At 43.2% G+C, this 20,126-nt stretch overlaps 1 long non-coding RNA gene and 1 pseudogene across 2 annotated transcripts in view; one reads left to right on the top strand and one right to left on the bottom strand.

Annotated features, from left to right (window-relative positions):
* Window positions 371-833, bottom strand: TXNP3 (thioredoxin pseudogene 3; annotated as a pseudogene).
* LINC02884 (long intergenic non-protein coding RNA 2884) overlaps window positions 3,425-20,126 on the top strand; it is a 130,935-nt gene continuing 114,233 nt past the window's right edge. For both annotated transcript variants that reach the window (NR_183466.1, NR_183465.1), the window contains exon 1: window positions 3,425-3,670. This is a non-coding gene — a long non-coding RNA (long intergenic non-protein coding RNA 2884). The remainder of the gene's footprint in view (window positions 3,671-20,126) is intronic.

Raw genomic sequence — 20,126 nt, 5'->3', positions numbered from 1 at the left:
CCAATAATTTCAGCACCATTTGTTGAAAAGTTATCCTTTCTCCACTGAGTTGCCTTTGCAATTTTGTCAAAAATCAGTTGTATATATATGTGTGGGTCATTAGTTCTTTTTTTTTTAAAGAAGACATGACCATTTCATAAACTTAATGAGCCATATCAGTTGTTCATTATGAAGACGTGATGCTTCGTAGTCTTGGATCCTTTCTTGAGGTTTGTGGTTTAATCTAGTTTCACAACTTGGACTAGGCACTGGCCTCAGATCAGGATAGAATTATTCCTATAAGGCCAGATAACTTTTTTTTGTTTTAGAGGGTAGAATTAATATTTGTTTGTCATTTATAATCAGATGGCAGCTGGGTATACAGTCTCCATACTTCATTTTTTTGGTAAATAAAAAAACTACAAGTTTTAAATAGCCAATGGCTCATTATGTTTTCAGACAACATGATTAGACCAATTTATTAATGGTGGCTTCAAGTTTTTCCTTATTAGCTCCAAAAACTGGAGCCCACCCACCTTTCATTCCTTTTTAAAAAACTGGAAGATGGCATGCATTTCTTCATACTCTGAAGCAAACATCCTACCCTGACAATCATCCACATCTGCCTTGAGGAACACCACGCTGGAATACTTTTCAGCAAGGGAATGAAAGAAGGGCTTGATCATTTTGCAAGGCCCACATCATGTGGCTGAGAAGTCAACTACAAGTTTATTCTTGTAGCATCCGAGCCTTCCTGAAAAGCAAACTTGCTCTTCTGCTTCACCACTTTGACTGTTGGGGTCTGATGACTGACTGTAAGAACCGATGGAAATGGATCCAAAGTGCTGGACCAAGCTTTGGCCAGAGGACCTTTGTCTTTTGGATTGTCCTCTAAGCCCTGATGTTGAACTCATTTTCTAACAGGAAGGACAGACTAGTATTTCTGTTTTCTGGTTGACTGATCTGTTCTCCTGATTGTCCTTAATGCCACATCTGGCTTTTCACTGGGTCACAACTAGCTGTGTTCTTTTCTCCCCTAAACGAAAGCTTCAGTGACTTTAGTTAATCTCGTCTCTGTCCTGAAGTATCTGAAATATGAGCCTCTTAGACCAAAGATAGGCAGTTTAATATTATCAAAGACCATGGACGTGGGGGGGAGGAAATCAGTCAAAAGTCACTTAATAAGCCACCTTAATTGAAGTGGTTTTGTCTCCTTAGGGAAATGTAAAATATTCAACTCAGCAGCTTAAAAATGTTTTTATTGAGATATAACTCACATATCATAAAATTTACCCTTTAAAGTTGCACATTTCAGTGATTTTTATTATATTCACAAAGTCGTGAAACCATCATCACTATCTAATTCCACCCTAAAATAAACCTTATACCCATTAAGCGGTCACTCTCCATTTTTCCCTCCTCCCAGCCCCAGGCAACCACTAGTCTACTTTCTGTTTCTATGGATTTGCCTATTCTGGCAAATTTAACATAAGAGGTATCATACAATATGTGGGCTTTAATATCTGACTTCTTTATTTAGCATAATGTTTTCAAGGTTCATCCATGTTGTGGCATGTATCAGTACTTCATTCTTTGTGGCTGAATAATATTCCATTGTGTGGATATACTTCATTTGGTTTATCCATTCATCAATTGATGAACATTTGGGTTCTTTCTACTTTTTGGAAATTATGAATGATGCTTCTATGAACATTTGAGTATGAGTTTTTATGTGGACACAAGTTTTCAATTTTCTTGGATATATACCTAGGAGTGGAATTGTTGGGTCATATGGTAACTCTTTATTTAACTTTTTGAGGAATTGCCAAACTGTTTCCCAAGGCAGCCATACTGTTTTACAGTTTTACCAACAATGCATGAGAGTTCCGATTTCTCCACATTCTTTTCAACACTTGTTATTGTCCATTTAAAAAATTATAGCCATGCTAGTGGATATAAAGTGATGTGTCATTCTGGTTTTGATTTGCATTACCCTAATGACTGATGATGTTGAACAACTTTTCATGTGCACGTTGGCTATGTGTATATTTTATTTGAAAAAATGTTTATTCAAATTCTTTGCCCTTATTTAATTGGCTTGTCTTTTTACTTTCTTTGTTATTATTATTATTTTAGAGATGGGGTCTTTCTGTGTTGCCTAGGCTGGCCTTGAACTCCTGGGCTCAAGTGATCCTTCTGCCTCAGCCTCCTGAGTAGCTGGGATTATGGGTGCTGGCTTATTTTTTCACTTTCTTGATAGTGTACTTTGAAGCACAAAATTTTTAGTTTTGATGAAGTCCAATTTATATATTTGTTTCTTTTGTTGCTTATGACCATCTGCTTTTTAAATTAAACTCAGAAATCCTAAAGCTTTTCCATTAAGCACAACAAATAATAAAACTATATATCTTAATTCCATGTTGTAGCAATTTAAGGGGGTGGAATTGACGTCAGGGAGAGGGAGAAGGTGGGGGTAGACTCTTTACTTGGACTTTAGACCTCAAAGTCTGAATGTTAGCAACTGCCTTTGAGCATTGAGCACATAATCATCAAGGATAACTAACTCTTTGGAAACTGCCTTAATCACTAAACCTTCAGTAGCTTTCTTCTGGAAGGGGTGAAGCCCCTGCTACCAAGAAGGAGCTCACTCTCTGCACTGCAGCAATGTTACCTAAGGACAAGTGAAAATGAAGATAAAGTGTCAGAAAAAGGGAAAGCTTTGCAGTCAGGCTGTTAGGAGTCTCCACTGGGTTCTCTGGAACTAGATGCTGCAACAGAGGTAGAAGTGCAAAGGGGAGGATCACCTGTGAGTGGAAAAGGGAGGAAGCAGTTTGGCCAGGAGGAGCTCTTGGCTTCTGATGCAGACTTGACAAAGCCTCTGCCAGTCTAACAGGGTGCTCTGAGCAAAAATTGCTTGTTAGAGGAGTTCCGCATTGGTAGAAGAGGGATGGGCCTTTGTACTACCACCTTGCTCAGCCATTGGCTAGGGGCTGCCTTAAGAAGAGAGTGACTGTGGCTTAAAAACTCAGGTGGTCCTTGAAGGAACTAATTGCTGGGGGCAAATAAAACCAACATTCTTGGTAGCAGGGGAGTGAGTCCTTTATTGAAGGGGCAATGTAAGCATGGCATCTCTGTGTCTGTCTACCACACAGACAAACATGAAGTTCAAATTCCAACAACATGTGACCTTAGGCAACCACTCTGCCTCAGTTTTTTCATCTGTAAAATGGAGAAAATGCTTTCCTTACAGGGTTGTGGGAGGATTAAATAAGACAAGAATGAACATAGTGCCTGATACAGCACAGGCATTCAATAAGTATTAGTTCTTCCCTTTCCCCCAGATGAAAATAAGCCAAGGGAACATTCTGTTCTGCAAACCAGTTCCCACCCTGCTCTTTCTAAACTTCATTTTCTTTCAATTTCCAGTAGGGGACCAAGCCTCTGCGGCAGTTTCCTGATCTTCTGGATATGCTGCCACGCTGTCCCAGGGCTGGTGGTGTCCCCTGACTTGTTCCTCTCCTGACTTTCTCAGCCTGGAGACTGAAAGCTCTCTTTGGCTGTTGGCCCTCCCAGGCAGAGTCCACTGGCTGTTAGGGTGAAATGGGGCTGATGCTTCCTGGAATCCACCAGAAGTATGCAAATTGCACCATCTCTTTCAGCTGCCTGCGCCTGCATTCCATCGAGGATTCCGGTAAGAAGAAACCATCCTGTTCCTCTTTCTAAGTGCCTCATTAAAGCTGGAGGACAAATTCCTCCTGCTTCTCTTGCCCTGGGAGGTGAGACAGCACCTGAATGGGAAGAGGAGGTTGTGCTCCGCGTGACATCATCCTTCATGGGGTACTCTGACCACAGGGACACTGGTGTCCAAGGCCCAGGTACTTCCTGTGTGCCTGATTCACTGGGGAGTCTCAACTCGTTGGGGTATAAACATGAAAAGATTTTATTTCTTCCAGTAACTGCCCTGGCTGTGCTGTGCCAGATCTCTCTTTCCTGCTGAGGAGCCGCTCCCTTAACGACATCTTGGTCTGGTTCCATAACTTTTCAGCCACTTTCGGTTACTATAACAGTCTCATTCCAGTAATTAAGACTCAGCCTCTTATATTTTTAAAACTTTCATTGCAAACTCGATTCAGAGCTCTTCTCTCCCCTTCCCTCCAGCACAAGTGAGAGTTGGGTCCTGGTTGTTTGGAGCAGTGGAGGGGAAGTAGGGCCTGGCTTGAAGATGCCTCACCTCCTCCCTCTTTGAGGCCTCAGCATCTGTATTTGGGCAGAGAGGAGGGATGGAGAGTAAGAGACCTCTTTACAGGAGTGTCCTTTTCCCCTTCCTGTTCTTTGTGGCTCTGTTAGATGCTGAAGATCTCACCCCACCCTCCTCCATCACTGAACACCACCCTTTCCCCCTCCTTCCCTCACACAGATGCACCTCTCTTTAGCCTCAACAGTGGTACAGGTGCCCAACGACCCTTTGTTGACTTGGCCATGGGTACCTGGGCAAACCCTCAGCTCCTGCCCTTCCACTGACTTCCGTGCATCTCCATGCAGAGCCACAGGGCCTGCAGGAATCCTCTCCCATAATCCTTCAAGGGCCCCACAGACCTGGGAAGGGAGAGCTGCCCCCATCTTCTTCCCAGTCATGCTGCCCCAGGGTCCTTCGAGCCCTGCCGGATGGGCTACTGTAGTGGGCCTCTTGCTTTCAGAATCTCCCAGACTCAGATGGATACCAGTCTCTACATTCAAGTGCAGTCCCAGCCCTCAAAGTAAGTTCATCAGGCATCCTGCTTTTCCTTCCCACAGTGGGGTAGGTGAACAACAAGGGCACTGGGCTGCAGTCCTAGGCTTCCAGGATGGCAAGGACTCTGACAGTGAGCTGTGCCTCTGAGGCATCAGGGAGAGTCTGGATTCCCTCTCCCCTCACACTGGGGCAGGAAAGCACCCTTATCATCTCCACAGGGGCGTGAAGGGTGACTCTTCCTTGATCTCTCTCAGTCCTGCTCCTGACTGGACGTGGGCTGGGTGCCGGTCCATTTAGAGGGTGCTGGTGCCTTGAACAGCAGTGTGTGGAGGTGGCTGGCTCCATCTGCTGGCGGCTTGCTGGTAATTCTGTGGGGTTGCTTGGCTCCTCTTGGCTGTGGGTCTAGCATAATGGGGACACACGCTAGGACATGCACAGCTGCAGGCAGTGCTATCCTGTCTCTTCTCTTTTAACCTGTGTTGAAGTTGTCCTTCCTCCTGAAAGGATTTCTTGATTAATTCCCACCATTTGACATGCTCCTTCACTGCACAACCTCAGCGCTGAGACTCTCAATTGGTAGTAAGTTCATGTGCCCGCAAGTGAAATGTCTCTTGAGTAGTTTTCATGTGTTTTGAGGATAGTTAGTGTTTATTGAGCTCTTCCATGTGCCATCTACTGTCCCAAGCACGTCACATACTTCATCTCATCTCCTCACACCACAATCCAATGAGCTAGGTACCGTCACTGTCCCCATTTTACAGATGAGAAAACTGAGATAGAAATGTTAAATAGCATCTCTAAGGTTTATAGTCAGAAAGTGATGTAAAGAGGCACGCTGAACTCGGAGCTTCTACTCTCTACCGATACTCTGTTCTGCCTACTTGGTTTCATACTGTGATCCCTCTGCCTCCTCACCTCTCCTCATCCCTTACCCTGAAAGCCTTAAATAAGTATATGTGGTTCACAGTGAAGTACTCCCCATAATATTTTTTTGTTTAGACTAACGGAATCTTCCCATTTGGGGCTTGTGCAAGAGCTGAACTAGCCCTGGTGAGATTGTGGTCAACTTACAAATGGGCCAAGCTGTGTGGTCATGTTGAAGTCATTAGCACAGAGCCTTTGGACACAAGGACAAATCCTGCTCTAACATTTTAGATTAATTTTTTCCCAGGGAGGCCTAGAATCTTGACCATATACTCCTGAGAAATACTTTTCATCTGAAAAATGAGAATCTCTATTGTTTGCATAGTGCATTTACTTTCATTGTCTCCTAGATATATTTGCAACCACTCTGAGCAGAGGGTGTTAATATCACTCTTGTTTTATGGGTGAGGAAACGGAGGCATGAAGGTTAGCAACTTGTCTGAGGTTACACAGCTTGTATGTGCTGGAACTGGGATCCACAGCCAAATCTTCTGCCTCCCCCCTGTCATGCCAAAAGGGTACCCTTACTGCCATTTGCCAAGAGCCTCAGGCTCCTGACTCCTTGCTATGGGCTCTGTTCCTCAGTGGGCATTTCCTTTCTTCACTTTTAGCCATGTCCATGGCCCTTGATCCTATCTCTTCTTCTAGCCTCCCCCCACTGGTTTTACCCACATCCTCTTCATCTTTCTCAAGGGCTGGTAGTGCCCCTTGGAGTAGGGGGACCCGACCTTGAAGCTTTCTCACTATGTCCCCCAAGGCCCTGAAGGGGCTGTTCATTGCCTTTATCGGCTCTAGTCATGGCGGATGTTATTTATTGTCAGATAAATGTATTTCCAAACAAAACAGAAAACGAACAAATAAACACAGTGACAGAGCTGTAAAAAACCCTGCCGGCTCGCTTACTTGTAGAAAAGCCTGCACAACTAATTAACCCGGGTAGACCTCTGTGGTGTTTGGAAACAAGCTTGGAATTAATATCGCCGTTCTCAGCTGCTGGAACCAGCCTCTAAATCTTTATTGGGTAGTAGCAAGAGAGAGACACAGAGAGTTATAGAGACAGTAAGAGGCGAAGATGGAAGGAGATAGAGTGACAGAGGAAGATAAACGCAGCTAGCCATCTGCCTCCATACCCATCCATATCACCTTAGCTATACTCTGGATCCTAGACAGACAGATGGAGAAACAGACAGATTGTGTCTCCTAAGAGCGAGAGATAGGAGAAAACAGAGCCTTTGTCAAGTTCAGAGTACATTTTGCTTCCCTATCATTGAAGTCAGAGAATCAGAGGCTCCTGGACTGGAAGGGGCTTGTGAGAGGTCATCTAATTCAGTGGTTTCAGAATTATTTTTAGCAGCAAAACCTTTTCCTGAAATGAAATCATACACAGAAGTGCCGTGTATAAAGCAGATGAAAGTGGAGCTGCCCCATTTGGAGCTTGCTGCTCCTCCAAGCCCCTCCCCTCTCCAAGCACAGGGCAGGCCCTGTGTCTTCTGGGTCTTCAGGGCTCAGGAGAGCACAGCTGGAAAATTAAAGCTGCTTGGCCTCTGGATGGCAAGCCTTTGGGAGTGTTCCTGGTTCTTCTCTGGATTCAGGCTTAGCCGAATTTGAGAGTCCCCCAGAAAGGGGGTGTGGTAGAGTGGATATGCCAGTTGGTGAAGGAGGTGGGTTACCCAAGGGAACACCTACTCTCTTGCCCTGAACCTGTTGGGTTCTTGAACTTTGATATTCACTTTCCCTGGGGATCTTTTTTGGCAGGAGCTGAGGTACTGGCTTGTTGACCTTGAGGTAAGGATGGCCTCTCAGCTGGTGGGCTTCAAGAGTCAACCACCTGATCCAGACTTTGCCTGGAGGAGGCTTGTCATAGCTCCACATCAAGTTCAGGAGGGGAGGCCAAGAGTACAGGAAGAACATCTCCCTTCTCTTTAAGTGTGGAAGGTGGCCAGGGTGGACTTCCCTATAGACCATTCGGTTATGCTCTACAAGCATGACTGGTGAGCTACTGGGAAATTGTACTTCGTACCTTTTTTCTTGTAGAGGAAGGAGGGGCAGTGGCCTGAGGCTGGAAAATCCCCCAACTGAGTGGCACTGTGGGGATTTGTCTGGCCTCTGCTATTGGAAGCCCTGTTCTCAGCCTCAAGAGCAGAGCCCTGAGGCTGGGTGGAAAGGCCCTTCTCTCGGAGTCAGTGGTGGATAGGGAAGGACAGGGGAAGCAGACCAGGCACTGTGTTAGGAGCCTTCCTGTCTCCGATTAACCCTGTGTGTCCTTGGCTCAGGCCTAGACATCAAAGGGGGCACAGCAAGAGGAGAAACACAAATCAAGAAGTAATGCTTTTTTTGAAGGAGAAATTATAAATTGCAATTTAATCACATAATCACTTTGACACTCTCAAGCAAGCTAATTTCTTCCCTTGCCTCATTTCATCCACTCGGTGAGATGAATCTTAATGAATAATGTCCTATGAATATTTAATTTTTGATCAATTTGAATTTTCTCTGGCATACCTGCTGGAGACATAAATCAGCTCCTTTCTGCCCAACAGAGTGAATTTGGACAGCAGCCTGAGCAGATCTCTGCCCATGGCCACAGAAGATGCCAGCCTGAAGTTTTTGATGTTCTTGTTTGCCACCATCTCAACACTGTGACTTGGACCTCCCTCAGTGCCATCCCTAAGTTGTGTTTTCTAATACTGCTCTGCGAGCAGAAGCCTGAAGCCAGTGGTTGTCTGGGCAGATAAGATGCATCTGAAACTGACTTTCCACAGGTGGCCCCTTTTCCTTCATCCTTTTTCTTCAATGACTTAAGCCTCCCTTCTGACACTAGCTTTATCTTTCCTGGACCCTGGAGACAACTGTTATGGTTCAAAATATGAAAAGAACCATTCTCAGTTGCCTGAGAAGGCTTCTTTTATGAGATAATACTTGATATTTGTACAGTGTGTTACAGTTTGCAAAGTGACTTCACATACATCTTTTCTTTCCATGTCTTAAAACATCATTGTGTTTGATCTTTCTTGTGAGGTGAGGAAATGGGGCTGGGTAAGTTCTTTCTTACCCTGGGTTAAGAAGAGCTAGTACTGGAACTCACAAGCTTGAAGAATGGCTAAGTTCAAAGCTGGGACAATGGGTCCAAACTGAGCTGTCTATAAAGAGGGATTTAGTAGCTGGGACTAGGGTCTGGAGGAAGCGGGAGGGTATCCTTAATAGACAAGTTGGAGGTGATCTCATTGAAGAATTGATGACAATAATGGTATTTTGGAGAAAATACTCCAATTGCTTAAGGCAATAGACAGAGATAGCATGTTTAAAATGTATTTTGGATGTGTATCCATATCCTGTACATTTTGTTTTCCTGGGGTTCTCCACCTATGAAAGCAATAGATTTTAGTGCTTTAGGAAGGGCAGCAGCCACCTCAACGCAGAGGTTATTGCTCAGTTTAAATCTCAGTGCCACATTCTTGTTTTTGAGTCCATCAAGACAAAACAGTCTTGAAAGTAAGATTTTGTGTAGAAAGCAAATAAATTTCTAAATTCAGCAACCTTCCAATAATATGATCATAGAATTTCCCTGTAAACAATAGGGTAGAGATAATTCAGACTATGGTATGATGGAAGTCACTTGGGAAGCTCACCCCTTCTCACCTGAGGGGCATGGAGAAAGAAGGGAGAGGTGGAGGAAGGACAATGGAGTCGGAGTGCTGTGTCCTCATTTTTATTCCCGTAGGCCAAATCACTGAACACAGTAGAAACTTTCAGATAGAGGCCGGGTGCAGTGGCTCATGCCTGTAATCCCAGCACTTTGGGAGGCTGAGGCGGGCGGATCACCTGAGGTCAGGAGTTCGAGACCAGCCTGACCAACATGGAGAAACCCTGTCTCTACTAAAAATACAAAATTAGCCGGGTGTGGTGGTGCATGCCTGTAATCCCAGCTACTCGGGAGGCTGAGGCAGGAGAATCGCTTGAACCCACAAGGCAGAGGTTGCGGTGAGCCAAGATTATGCCATTGCACTCCAGTCTGGGCAACAAGAGTGAAACTCCATCTCAAAAAAAAAAAAAAAAGAAAAAAAAAAGAAAAAGAAATATTCAGATAGATATGAAGGAAGCTAAGAACATGGCGGTTAATGTCTCCAGCCTTACATTCCCCTCAACATGGCACAGGAACTAAAGTGAAAGGAGACGGGTAATTAGATGAGACCAAGGCAGTGCTCCTGTTCTCCATGGCCTGGGAATGTTGTGCACTGGAACTTAGGAGTTCTAATGTGCCCTGGTTGAGGTGCTGGGAGAGCTTGTAGTCCAGCAGAGGCCTGGGGATAGAACAAAGTGTTCAGTGAATAGGGGACTTCGCAACTGGAAAGAAAGGACCAAACCTGTGGTTTTTAGTGGTTGGGAGCTCATGCATCATTCTGACAAGTCAGAATCAGTTATGAAAGAGTCTAGGAAACAGACTAGACGAATAACCCAGGCAGACATCAGCTTGGACCAGAGGTTAGTTCTCTCCCATTACCACAAGGTGAAGTAGGATCCATGATGTGCCTGCTACCATTAAGGAAAAGTCAGGGTAGTGGTGGAGTGCCTAGGGAGGAAATTTGGAAGTCTGAACATTTACCCTGGAGAAACTGAACTATCTGAAAACATGTTTATGTCAGTGCTAGTAATTTTCAAGATTAACTTCTTGTCTTAAGCCAAGTTTTGAGAACACAGAATTTGAGATAAAGATTATATGCTAAAGCTTTACTGAATGGTGCAGGCCTAGGACAGCAAAAATAAGGGAAAAAACAAAAGTGAGGCAGGGAAGGGGAGAAGTAAGCCATAGTCTCACAAAAAGCCCATTTGGTTTCAGACATATGGGACTTCCTCCAGATGGGCCATGAGAGATCATCATACCTCAAAACAGTCTGTGTGGGGAGGGGTGATTTGAATTTTTCTTTTGCATTCTCTTCTTTCTTGTCTTTCAGTGATCATCATTTGCCCCATGGTATATTAACTCTATTACACTGTGAGGTTATATAACCTGTTCCCTATGGTAGGATTCTGAAGAAGTTAGAGTTCCAATGCTCAAGCCATATTCCTTTACGGTAGTTTTAAAATATTTTCACAAATGCTTTCACAATTCTCTCTTTAAGAGGTGGAGCTTAATTCCCCTCTACTTGAGTGTGGGCTGGTCTTAGAGACTTGATTCTAACAAATAGAATAAAGTGAATGTGACATTGTGTGATTGCAGAGATTAGGTCATAAAAAGCACTGTGTCTTCTTCCTTACTCTTTAACAACAGCTGACCCTTGAACAACATGGGGATTAGGGGTGCCAACCCCTGCGTAGTCAAAAATGCATGTATAATTTTGATCCCTCCCAAAACTTGACTACTAATAGTCTGTTATTAATCAGAAGCTTTATAGCTAGTATAAACAGTTGATTAACACATATTTTGTATGTTATATGTAAGAAAATTGTAAGGAAGAGAAAATATATTTACTATTAATTAAGTGGAAGTATATCATTATAAAGGTCTTCATCCTTGTAATCTTCACCTTGAGTGGGCTGAGGAGGAGGAGGAAGAGGAGGGGTTGGTCTTGCTGTCTGAGGGGTGGCAGACACAGAAGAAAGTCCACATGTAAGTTTATCCTCTTGGTTCAAACCCATGCTGTTTAAGGGTCAACTGTTCTTGCTTTGGGAGAAGCCAGCTTCCTTTGTGAGAATGCACAAGCAGCCCATAGAGAGGTCTGCATGATGAGGATCTAAAGCTTCCTGCCAACAGCCATGACAGTGAGGCATTTTGGCAGCGGATCTTTCAGGCTCTGTCAAGCCTTCAGATGATTGCAGTTCTTGTCAACATCCTGACAGCCATTTCATGAGAGACCCTCAGCCAGAAACATCCTGCTAAGCCACTCCCAGATTCTTGACCAACTCAATCTGTGAGATAATCTTTATTGCTTAAGCCACAAGTTTTGAAGTAATTTGTTAAAAAGCAATAGGTAATAATACACCCTTTATCTGAGTCTGGAAGTGGTGAGAGGAACTTGAACCTTCATAAGTCCTGTTGAGTCAGACCTGAGCAATAGAGCCTTGTCTTCTGCCATGGGAGACCCACAAGTACCTGCTGAAGCCCTCACCATGGAGAAGGCTGAGATAGATACAGTGTCAGTAGATGAGGCTGTGGTGGTAGTTGCTGGGACTATCCATTGAGTATGTGGTTGAGGGGAGACGCAAGTGGAGCAAATCTGGTGAGACCCATATACTTTGTCTGGTACAGTAGACTCCTATTCCATAGTCCTGTACTTTCCACTAGGATGGAGACTCAAGAAGCACAATTAAGCATGTTACAGAGAAACAAAGAAGTCATAAATGTTTTGTATATTTGCATAATAATATGAGTAGAATTGGGACAATGGGATTTGTTAAACTAATACATTCCCATTACAAAAAAGTAAAACAATATGGAAAAATAGAAAGACAAAACAAGCATCACTTAACCCATAATACAGAGAGAACACTGTTATATAACTTGATTTTTTTACATTCACTCCTTATATTGACATCTTCCCTTGCCAATAAATATAATTAAATTTATCTTTCCATGAAATACAGTAGACTAGATGTTCTATGAAACTCCTCCAGGGACAGTATGCCTCCAAATGATGGTATGTGTGTATATACATACATGTATGTATAAATAGAGAGAGAGACTAATACACACACATATACACACACATATATATATATTCCTGCCCCACCTTTAAAAATACATGAATGCATGTTTGAGTTGGCACAAAATTTTATTTATTTATTTATTTATTTATTTTAGAGACAGGGTCTTGCTCTGTCACCTGGGTTGGAGTGTGCTCATAGCGCACCACAGCCTCAAACTCCTGGATTCAAGCGATCCTCCCACCTCAGCCTCCTGAGTAGCTATGACTACAGGTGCATAACAAAGAGAGGCATACTCTCCTGCCTGGCTAGTGTTATTATTTTTGTAGAGTTGAGCTCTTGCAATGTTTCCCGGGCTGATCTTGAACTCCTAAGCTCAAGCATTCCTTCTTCCTGGTGTTGAGATTACAGGTGTGAGTCACCACACCCAGCCAAGGGGAATAGGAAACAAGAAAAAAAAACATTAAATGAAAAGAATAAGTGAGCTGTAGAGCTAGACTTTGTCTTGGGGCCTAATTGGGTTTCAGTAATTGGGTAATATGGGTCACCTACATGAGAGATGGGAGATATAGTCCAGGGATCAAGCAGGTTGAATCCATATACAAAATTGGGATCTCTGAGGGGTGAAATTTTCAGTAGATGAAGTAGAAAAAACACACCCAGAGGGAGAAAGAGAGTTAGTGAAGATATTTGGTTGTCATCCTTGACTCTTGATGGAATAGAAGAAAAAAACAAAGAAAAGTCTTTCTTGGAGAATTTCTAATCTTAAACTTAGACACCATTAGAAAATTTGAAGTCTCCTAGATTTGTACTGTCCCTAGGGCTCCAATAACAGCAGCAGCACATTTTTCCAGACAGAACATAGTTTAAACCCTGGTCTCAGAGAATTCTCACAGATAACGTTCCAGAGGACATGGACTTCCCAATCAAAATTCAACAAATGCATAAGAAAATAAATTACCCTGAGTGAGAACAGCATGTTTCTGGAAGACTGTAATGACCTTGATTTACTTATCCAATATCAAATACAAAATAAATATATTTAATTTGTTTATGCAATAAAAGAGAGTACTGGAAGTATAATGAGGAGACAAAAGACTGAGAGTAACCTAGTTAGATATAATAAAGAAATAAATAGAACTTTTAGGAAAAAAATCATTGAAATTAGCAACTCAATAAATATGATAATAACTTAGACACAGCTGAAAAGAGAATTGGTGATCTGGAAGTTGCTCTGAAGAATGACCTAGAATACAATAGAAAGACAAAGATATGAAAGATTTAGGAGATATAAAAGACATAGTGGGGAGATACAGCATACATATAATCAGAATTTCGAAGAATGATGGTGAGAGTGGGAGAGAAGTGTTTGAAAAGATAATGACTGAAAAATATCCAGTCCTAATGGAAGAACAGTCCTCAGCTCCAACAAGCTCAGTGAATCCTAAGTGGGATAAAGGAAAAGAAACCCATATTTTATAGAAAAACTGAAAACATGGATTATAATTCATTCTACTATAAAGACACATGCACATGTACATTTATTGCAGCACTATTCACAATAGCAAAGACTTGGAACCAACCCAAATGCCCATCAATGACAGACTGGATAAAGAAAATGTGGCATGTCTACACCATGGAATACTATGCAGCCATAAAAAAGAATGAGTTCATGTCCTTTGCAGGGACATGGATGAAGCTGGAAACCATCATTCTCAGTAAACTAACACAGGAACAGTAAACCAAACACCGCATGTTCTCACTCATAAGTGGGAGTTGAACACTGAAAACATATGGGCACAGGGAGGGGAACATCACACACTGGGGCCTGTTGGGGGTTGGGGGGCAGGGGAGGGATAGCATTGGGAGAAATACCTTATGTAGATGATGGGTTGATGGGTGCAGCAAACCACCATGGCACATGTATACCTTTGAAACAAACCTGCACATTCTGCACATGTATCCCAGAACTTAAAGTATAATTAAAAAAAAGGAAAAGACAAACTGAAAACACTAAAGATAAAGAGAGGATCTTAAAAGAAGTCAGAGAGAAAAGATAGATTATCTACAAAGCTATAAGAATTCAATCCACTGCTTATCTCTCAACAGTAGCCAGAAGACTATGGAATGGCAGCTTTGAAATGTTAAGTGAAAATACCTGTTATGCTAGAATTCTACTCCCACCAAAATTATCTCTCAAACATGAGGGCAAAATAACGACAATTTAAAAATGTTTTTACAAACAGAATTGGTACAATTGACACTAAGAGACACTAAAGAAATGTATAAAGATACATAACAGGAAGAAGAAACGTGTTCCCAGAAGGAGGTTTGAAGTGCAAGAAGAAATGGTGAAGAAAATAGTAAATGTTTGTATGTATAAATAAATATTGATTGTATAAAATAATAATAATAATACCTAATTTATTATTATTAAACTGAAATTATTAGAGTGAAAATCAAGTTAGAACTAAAATCGTGGACAAAAGTACACAAATCGACCATATTTGAATAGAGATCAAAACAGGAACAACGAAACTTCTTCTTTTTTAGATATACATAGATGTGTGATTAAACTATAAAGGAAAGAAAGGAAACGATTAGTACAAAATTGGGGTAGTGGGTCAGGTGCGGTGGCTCACGCCTGTAATCCCAGCACTTTGGGAGGCCGAGGCAGGCAGATCACGAGGTCAGGAAATCAAGACCATCCTGGCCAACATGGTGAAACCCCGCCTCTACTAAAATACAAAAAATTAGCTGGGTTTGGTGGCCCACGCCTGTAGTCTCAGTTACTTGGGAGGCTGAGGGAGGGGAATTGCTTGAACCCAGGAGGTGGAGGTTGCAGTGAGCTGGGATCGTGCCACTGCACTCCAGCCTGGCAACAGAACAAGACTCCATCTCAAAAAAAAAAAAAAAAAGAAAAATTTGGAGCATGCAGAGGGCTTGGCTTTGAAGTATATTAAACATTCTGTTTCTTAAGGTGGTTGCTGGGTACTGACTGCTTATTTTTTTCATTATGGGTATTCTTTTTTTTTTTTTTTTTTGAGATGGAGTTTTGCTCTTGTTGCTCAGGCTGGAGTGCAACGGCATGGTCTTGGCTCACTGCAACCTCTGCCTCCTGGGTTCAAGATATTCTCCTGCCTTAGCCTCCCAAATAGCTGGAATTGCATGCACCCACCACCATGCCCAGCTAATTTTTGTATTTTTAGTAGAGATGGGGTTTCACTGTGTTGGCCAGGCTGGTCTCTAACTCCTGACTTCAGGTGATCTACCCACTTTGGCCTCCCAAGTGGTGGGATTACAGGCATAAGCCACCAAGCCCAGCCCATTATGGCTATTCTTTTTCTTTTTTTTTGAGATGGAGTCTCACTCTGTTGCCCAGGCTGGAGTACAGTGGTGCGATCTCGGCTCACTGCAACCTCCACCTCCTGGGTTCAAGCGATTGTCCTGTCTCAGCCTCCCGAGAAGCTGGGATTACAGGAGCACCACTACGCCCAGCTAATTTTTGTATTTTTAGTAGAGATAGGGTTTCACTATGTTGGTCAGGCTGGTCTCGAACTCCTGAACTCCCGAACTCCCGACCTCGTGATCCGCCCACTTTGGCCAAAGTGTTGGGATTACAGCGTGAGCCACCGTGCCCTGCCTATGGTTACTGGCCTATTATATATGGCTATTCTTTAAAATGTAAATATTGATTATATGTACTTTTTCTATGGTATAATAAAAACAGACAAATTACAAATGATGTTGTGATGACCATTGTTGCAGCATGTATTATTTCACATACAAAGTAAATTCCTAGAAAGATTTTGAGGAAAAGGGTGAGTGCAGTAAGTTTACTTTGAAACTTTGTCACCTATCTTCCCAAAGGGTGCACCAACTTATACTTCCACTGACAATGCCTAACAAGGCCCATTTCCCTACACCCTTTCTGTGCATGTTTTCTAAAATGTCCTCCAATCATGTATGCCAGCATGGTGAGCTAGGCTTGTTTGAAGAGACTGGAATGAGATGAACAATTTATGAAGCAGGAGTTATAATTAATCCCACTTTACTTATAAGGAAATTGAAAATCACTGAGGTTGAGTGACTTGTCTAGGCTCACACTGTGGTCCAGGCTCACATTGTGGTCCAGGCTCTTACCTCTATGTTCAGTGCATGGTCTTTTTGCTATATTTCACTGCTGGCCAAACTTCATTGAACCTGTGTGTTGCAACAGTGTGCTGCTGCACATAAAAATCTTTCCTAGTCTAGCCATGTCAGAAAAGAAGGCAGGAAGAATGTGCACATTGTGGGTTGCTGGAGGTGGTAGAGTTGGGTGGAGAAGAAAGGTTTTCAACATTTATATCCTCAAATCTGAGGACCATTCCCTTCCTTGGACTTTGTTGCTTAAGCCCGTGATTATAAACTTTGGAGACAGAATGTTGGATGCCTATTTAATCAGCCTGGTGTCTGGCACGTGGCAAGTACTAAATATTTGCTGGCTCTCGAGTAAACTCTGGTTGATATTTTTGTCACCAAATATGGAGGGAAAACTGCCCCTTTGGCTCAGCCAGGCTTCTTTCACTGCATGAAGTGAGTCTGGTCCAGGGCGGAAGAAGAGATGAATTGACCTTCCAAGGTCTCTTCCTGCTGAAAAGACAAGGATTTGTCAGCAGACACTGCTGTGGAGAGCAGGGCCCCATTCCTGACTCCCTCAGAGGTACATTGGCTTTCTTTTCTCCAAGTGATTAGCAGGGAGATTGGCAGGCAGTAGTGGCAATAGAAGTTTAATGTTCTGGAAACCCAGTCTTTTTCCCTTTTCTCTGAGGTTTTCCCTGGTGAGCCAGGGAAAGGTCTTGCAGCTTAACAGGCAGACAGGGATGGGGCCCTGGAGTTTTACCATCAGAGAGTGAAATTTATCACTGTGACACCTACCCCAGGCATGACTGCATTGGTAGGGGAGAAGTGGCAGGTTAGGGGGAGGAAACTGCTGTCCTGCCCTGGGGACGCTGTCCCTGGCAGGGCACTGAGACCCTGCTGTGATCCTGAGATTTGACTGACCCATCCCTCCCTTGGGCCCGTTCTGCCCAAGGCAGGCCAGAATACTTTTCGCTCATAACCCCCCACTGCAGCTAAATAAATCAATGGATCCTAAAGCACTGAGCTGGTACCCAACACTTGGTGGATCCTGAGTCCTTATGCCTGTCTAACAGAGGACTCGATGTAGTGGGGAGAGCTGATAGCCCTGCCTGCCTCCCTGCCTCTTTTCGTCTGCTGGAGGCTGCAATACACAACATCTTCCCTTTTCTACACTTGCCCTTAATATATGTGAAGAAAGCTGTCAGGTCCCTTTTTAGTTTTGTCATCTTCCAGCTAAATATCCTCAACTGTTTGTTAAATCATATGACATTGTTTCCAGGCATCTCAACATCTTGGCCTCCCTTTCCCAGATGAATTGTTGGTTAATAACTCCCTGATGTGATGCATTTTGTGTCTCAGGCTCAGTGCTTGAGATGTTATGAATCTCTGTTGGCGGTGTACTGCCATGATTTAAGGGCACAGGTTTTGCAGTTGGGCTGAACTGGGTTTAAATCCTGGCCCTGCCCAATTTAATAGCTGTGTGATTGTGGCCGATTGCATTCTCCAAAGTTGGCTACCACAATACTTCCTATCCCGCATATTCTTCTTACAGTGTAGTAACACGCATCCCATCAAGTGGTGGGGTCTATGTCCCTTCCACTTGTACCTGGGCTGACCTTTGTGACTACATGGCCAGTAAGTGATGGCAGAAGGGGTGCTGTGAGGCTAGGTCATAGAAGTGCCATGCACTTCCACCTTGTCCTCTTTAGTTGTGTACCCTTGGGACTCAGTCACTGTGCTGCGAGGAAGCCAAAACTGACCCAGGTGGAGAGAACCCATGGAGAGCCACATGTGGGTGTTTTGGCTAATAGCCAAGCTGAAGTCCTCATCTATAGTTAGTGTCAAGCACTGGACATGTTGTGAGGAAATCACTGAGATGGCTCCAGCCCTAGCTGCCATCTGACTGCAACATCATGAATGACCTCAGGCGAGAATCACCCAGCTGAGCCCAGTTAGCCCCAGAATAAAATAATCGTTTTAAGTCACTAAGTTTAGGAGTGATTTATTGCGCAGCAATAGATCATCAGAACAGCGATCTTAGGCTTTGCTGGAGCTCTCAAGCCTCAGTTTTCCTTATCTGTGAAATGAGGACTATGAAGTCTACCTTAGAGTATTACTGTGAAAATTAAAAGACAATGCATAAAAAGTAGTTAGCATGTGCTTGCCACACAATAATTAGGCAACAAATTATTAACTATGATTAATGACCTCACGAGTGAGATAGGAAGGGTGATCTGGATTGAGACCTTAGGTCTAGGTAGTGGCAGAAGGATGGGAAACTGAACTTGCAGTGGGACAGCCTCTGGGGGAATAAGGTGAGAGTCAAGCCACAAGTGCCAAATGTGCAGTGAGCTGCAACAAGATTCAGGCAGTATCTAGTGTGAGGAAGACCAGTCCAATCTGGGGAAGCTTCTACTTCTTGGTCTGCGCGAAGCATGCAAACTGTCAGTGTTAAGACGAGATGAAAGGCAAAACCTGGTAAATCCTGGAGCTGGCTGCTAGGAGAGTGTGGGCAGCACACAGGAAATGTATTGGCGAAAGATTAAGCAGTGTTGGGGATTTGGCCACTGGGGTGTGCCACAGAAAACTCTGGAGGTGAGAGGGATTTGTGTGAATATCCCAGGAATTTGAGGTCACAACTGGCAGAGTTAACAAAGCAACAAGGTGGGGAGCCAGGGAGGATGCCTGATGACATTCTTGTGTATGACGTTTTCTTGTGGTTTGGTTCCCTGCTTCAGAGGGTCTCAGGATGTGAAAGGTGTAGTTTGCTGAAGTAGGCGTCTGCACAATTCAGGCAGCCATGAACTGTTAAATCTTACAAAGCAAAACTAACCACATCCTCCCCAAAGAAATCCATCATCACAAAACCTTATATTCTACCTCCACAAACAATACGTATGCTCATTGTAGAAAGATTAAATGATATGAGAAGGAAAAAGAGAAAAATAAAAATCTCCCAGATTCCTACAGCCCAGAGATATCCTCTGTTAATATTTTGGTATACATATATAGCCTTCCAAAATGTATACAAAAACAGAACCATATTGTTTGGTAACCTGCTTTTATTGCTTAATGATATGCCTTGGACATCTTTGCATGTTATGAAATATGCATCTGTAATTCTGAGCTTTTCAAATGGGGACATGTAGCAGTGTGCCAGGGTTTCTAACAGCTGCAGGAAAATTGTTGTTCATCACACTAGAGCATCAATTTTATTCAGTGCTAAGTTGCTTAAAATATTATTTTAATATTAAAACCAACCCAGTTATGGTATGGAGTAGAGTACAAAATTTACATGAATTTTTAGGAGAAAATATGAGACTTCAAAGAAATATCCTTTGACTCATTCTTTTGTATTTTTTTTTTATGGCAGGTAGCCATTAACTTATGGGGATCATTTGAATAGATTGTGTGCAAGAGGAGGTGGGAAGAGTTAAGTGACAATTTAGAGGCAATAAGGGCACCCAGAGTCCTTCCTTGAGGCACAGAGTACCTTGCAGCGAGATGATATGGAGAACAATGTGGGCATCTTGAAGTCTTGGCTTGGCCTTTAGAACCTGGGCCTAGGTCGGTGGCTTAATCACAAGCAGTGCCATCCCTAACATCCTCCTCAGCCTGTTGGCTTAGAACAGTTGAAGGCAGGGGTGACACCAGGGTAGGGAAAGTATGGCTGTACCTAGCATGGTACTCAGAACTAACCCAGTAGCTCAAGGTGAACCATGCACAG

Source organism: Homo sapiens, chromosome 1, assembly GCF_000001405.40.
Source record: "Homo sapiens chromosome 1, GRCh38.p14 Primary Assembly".
NCBI classification, from domain to species: Eukaryota; Metazoa; Chordata; class Mammalia; order Primates; family Hominidae; genus Homo; species Homo sapiens.
Note: the sequence above shows the minus strand (reverse complement) of the source record. Positions and strands in the feature narration are given on the sequence as shown.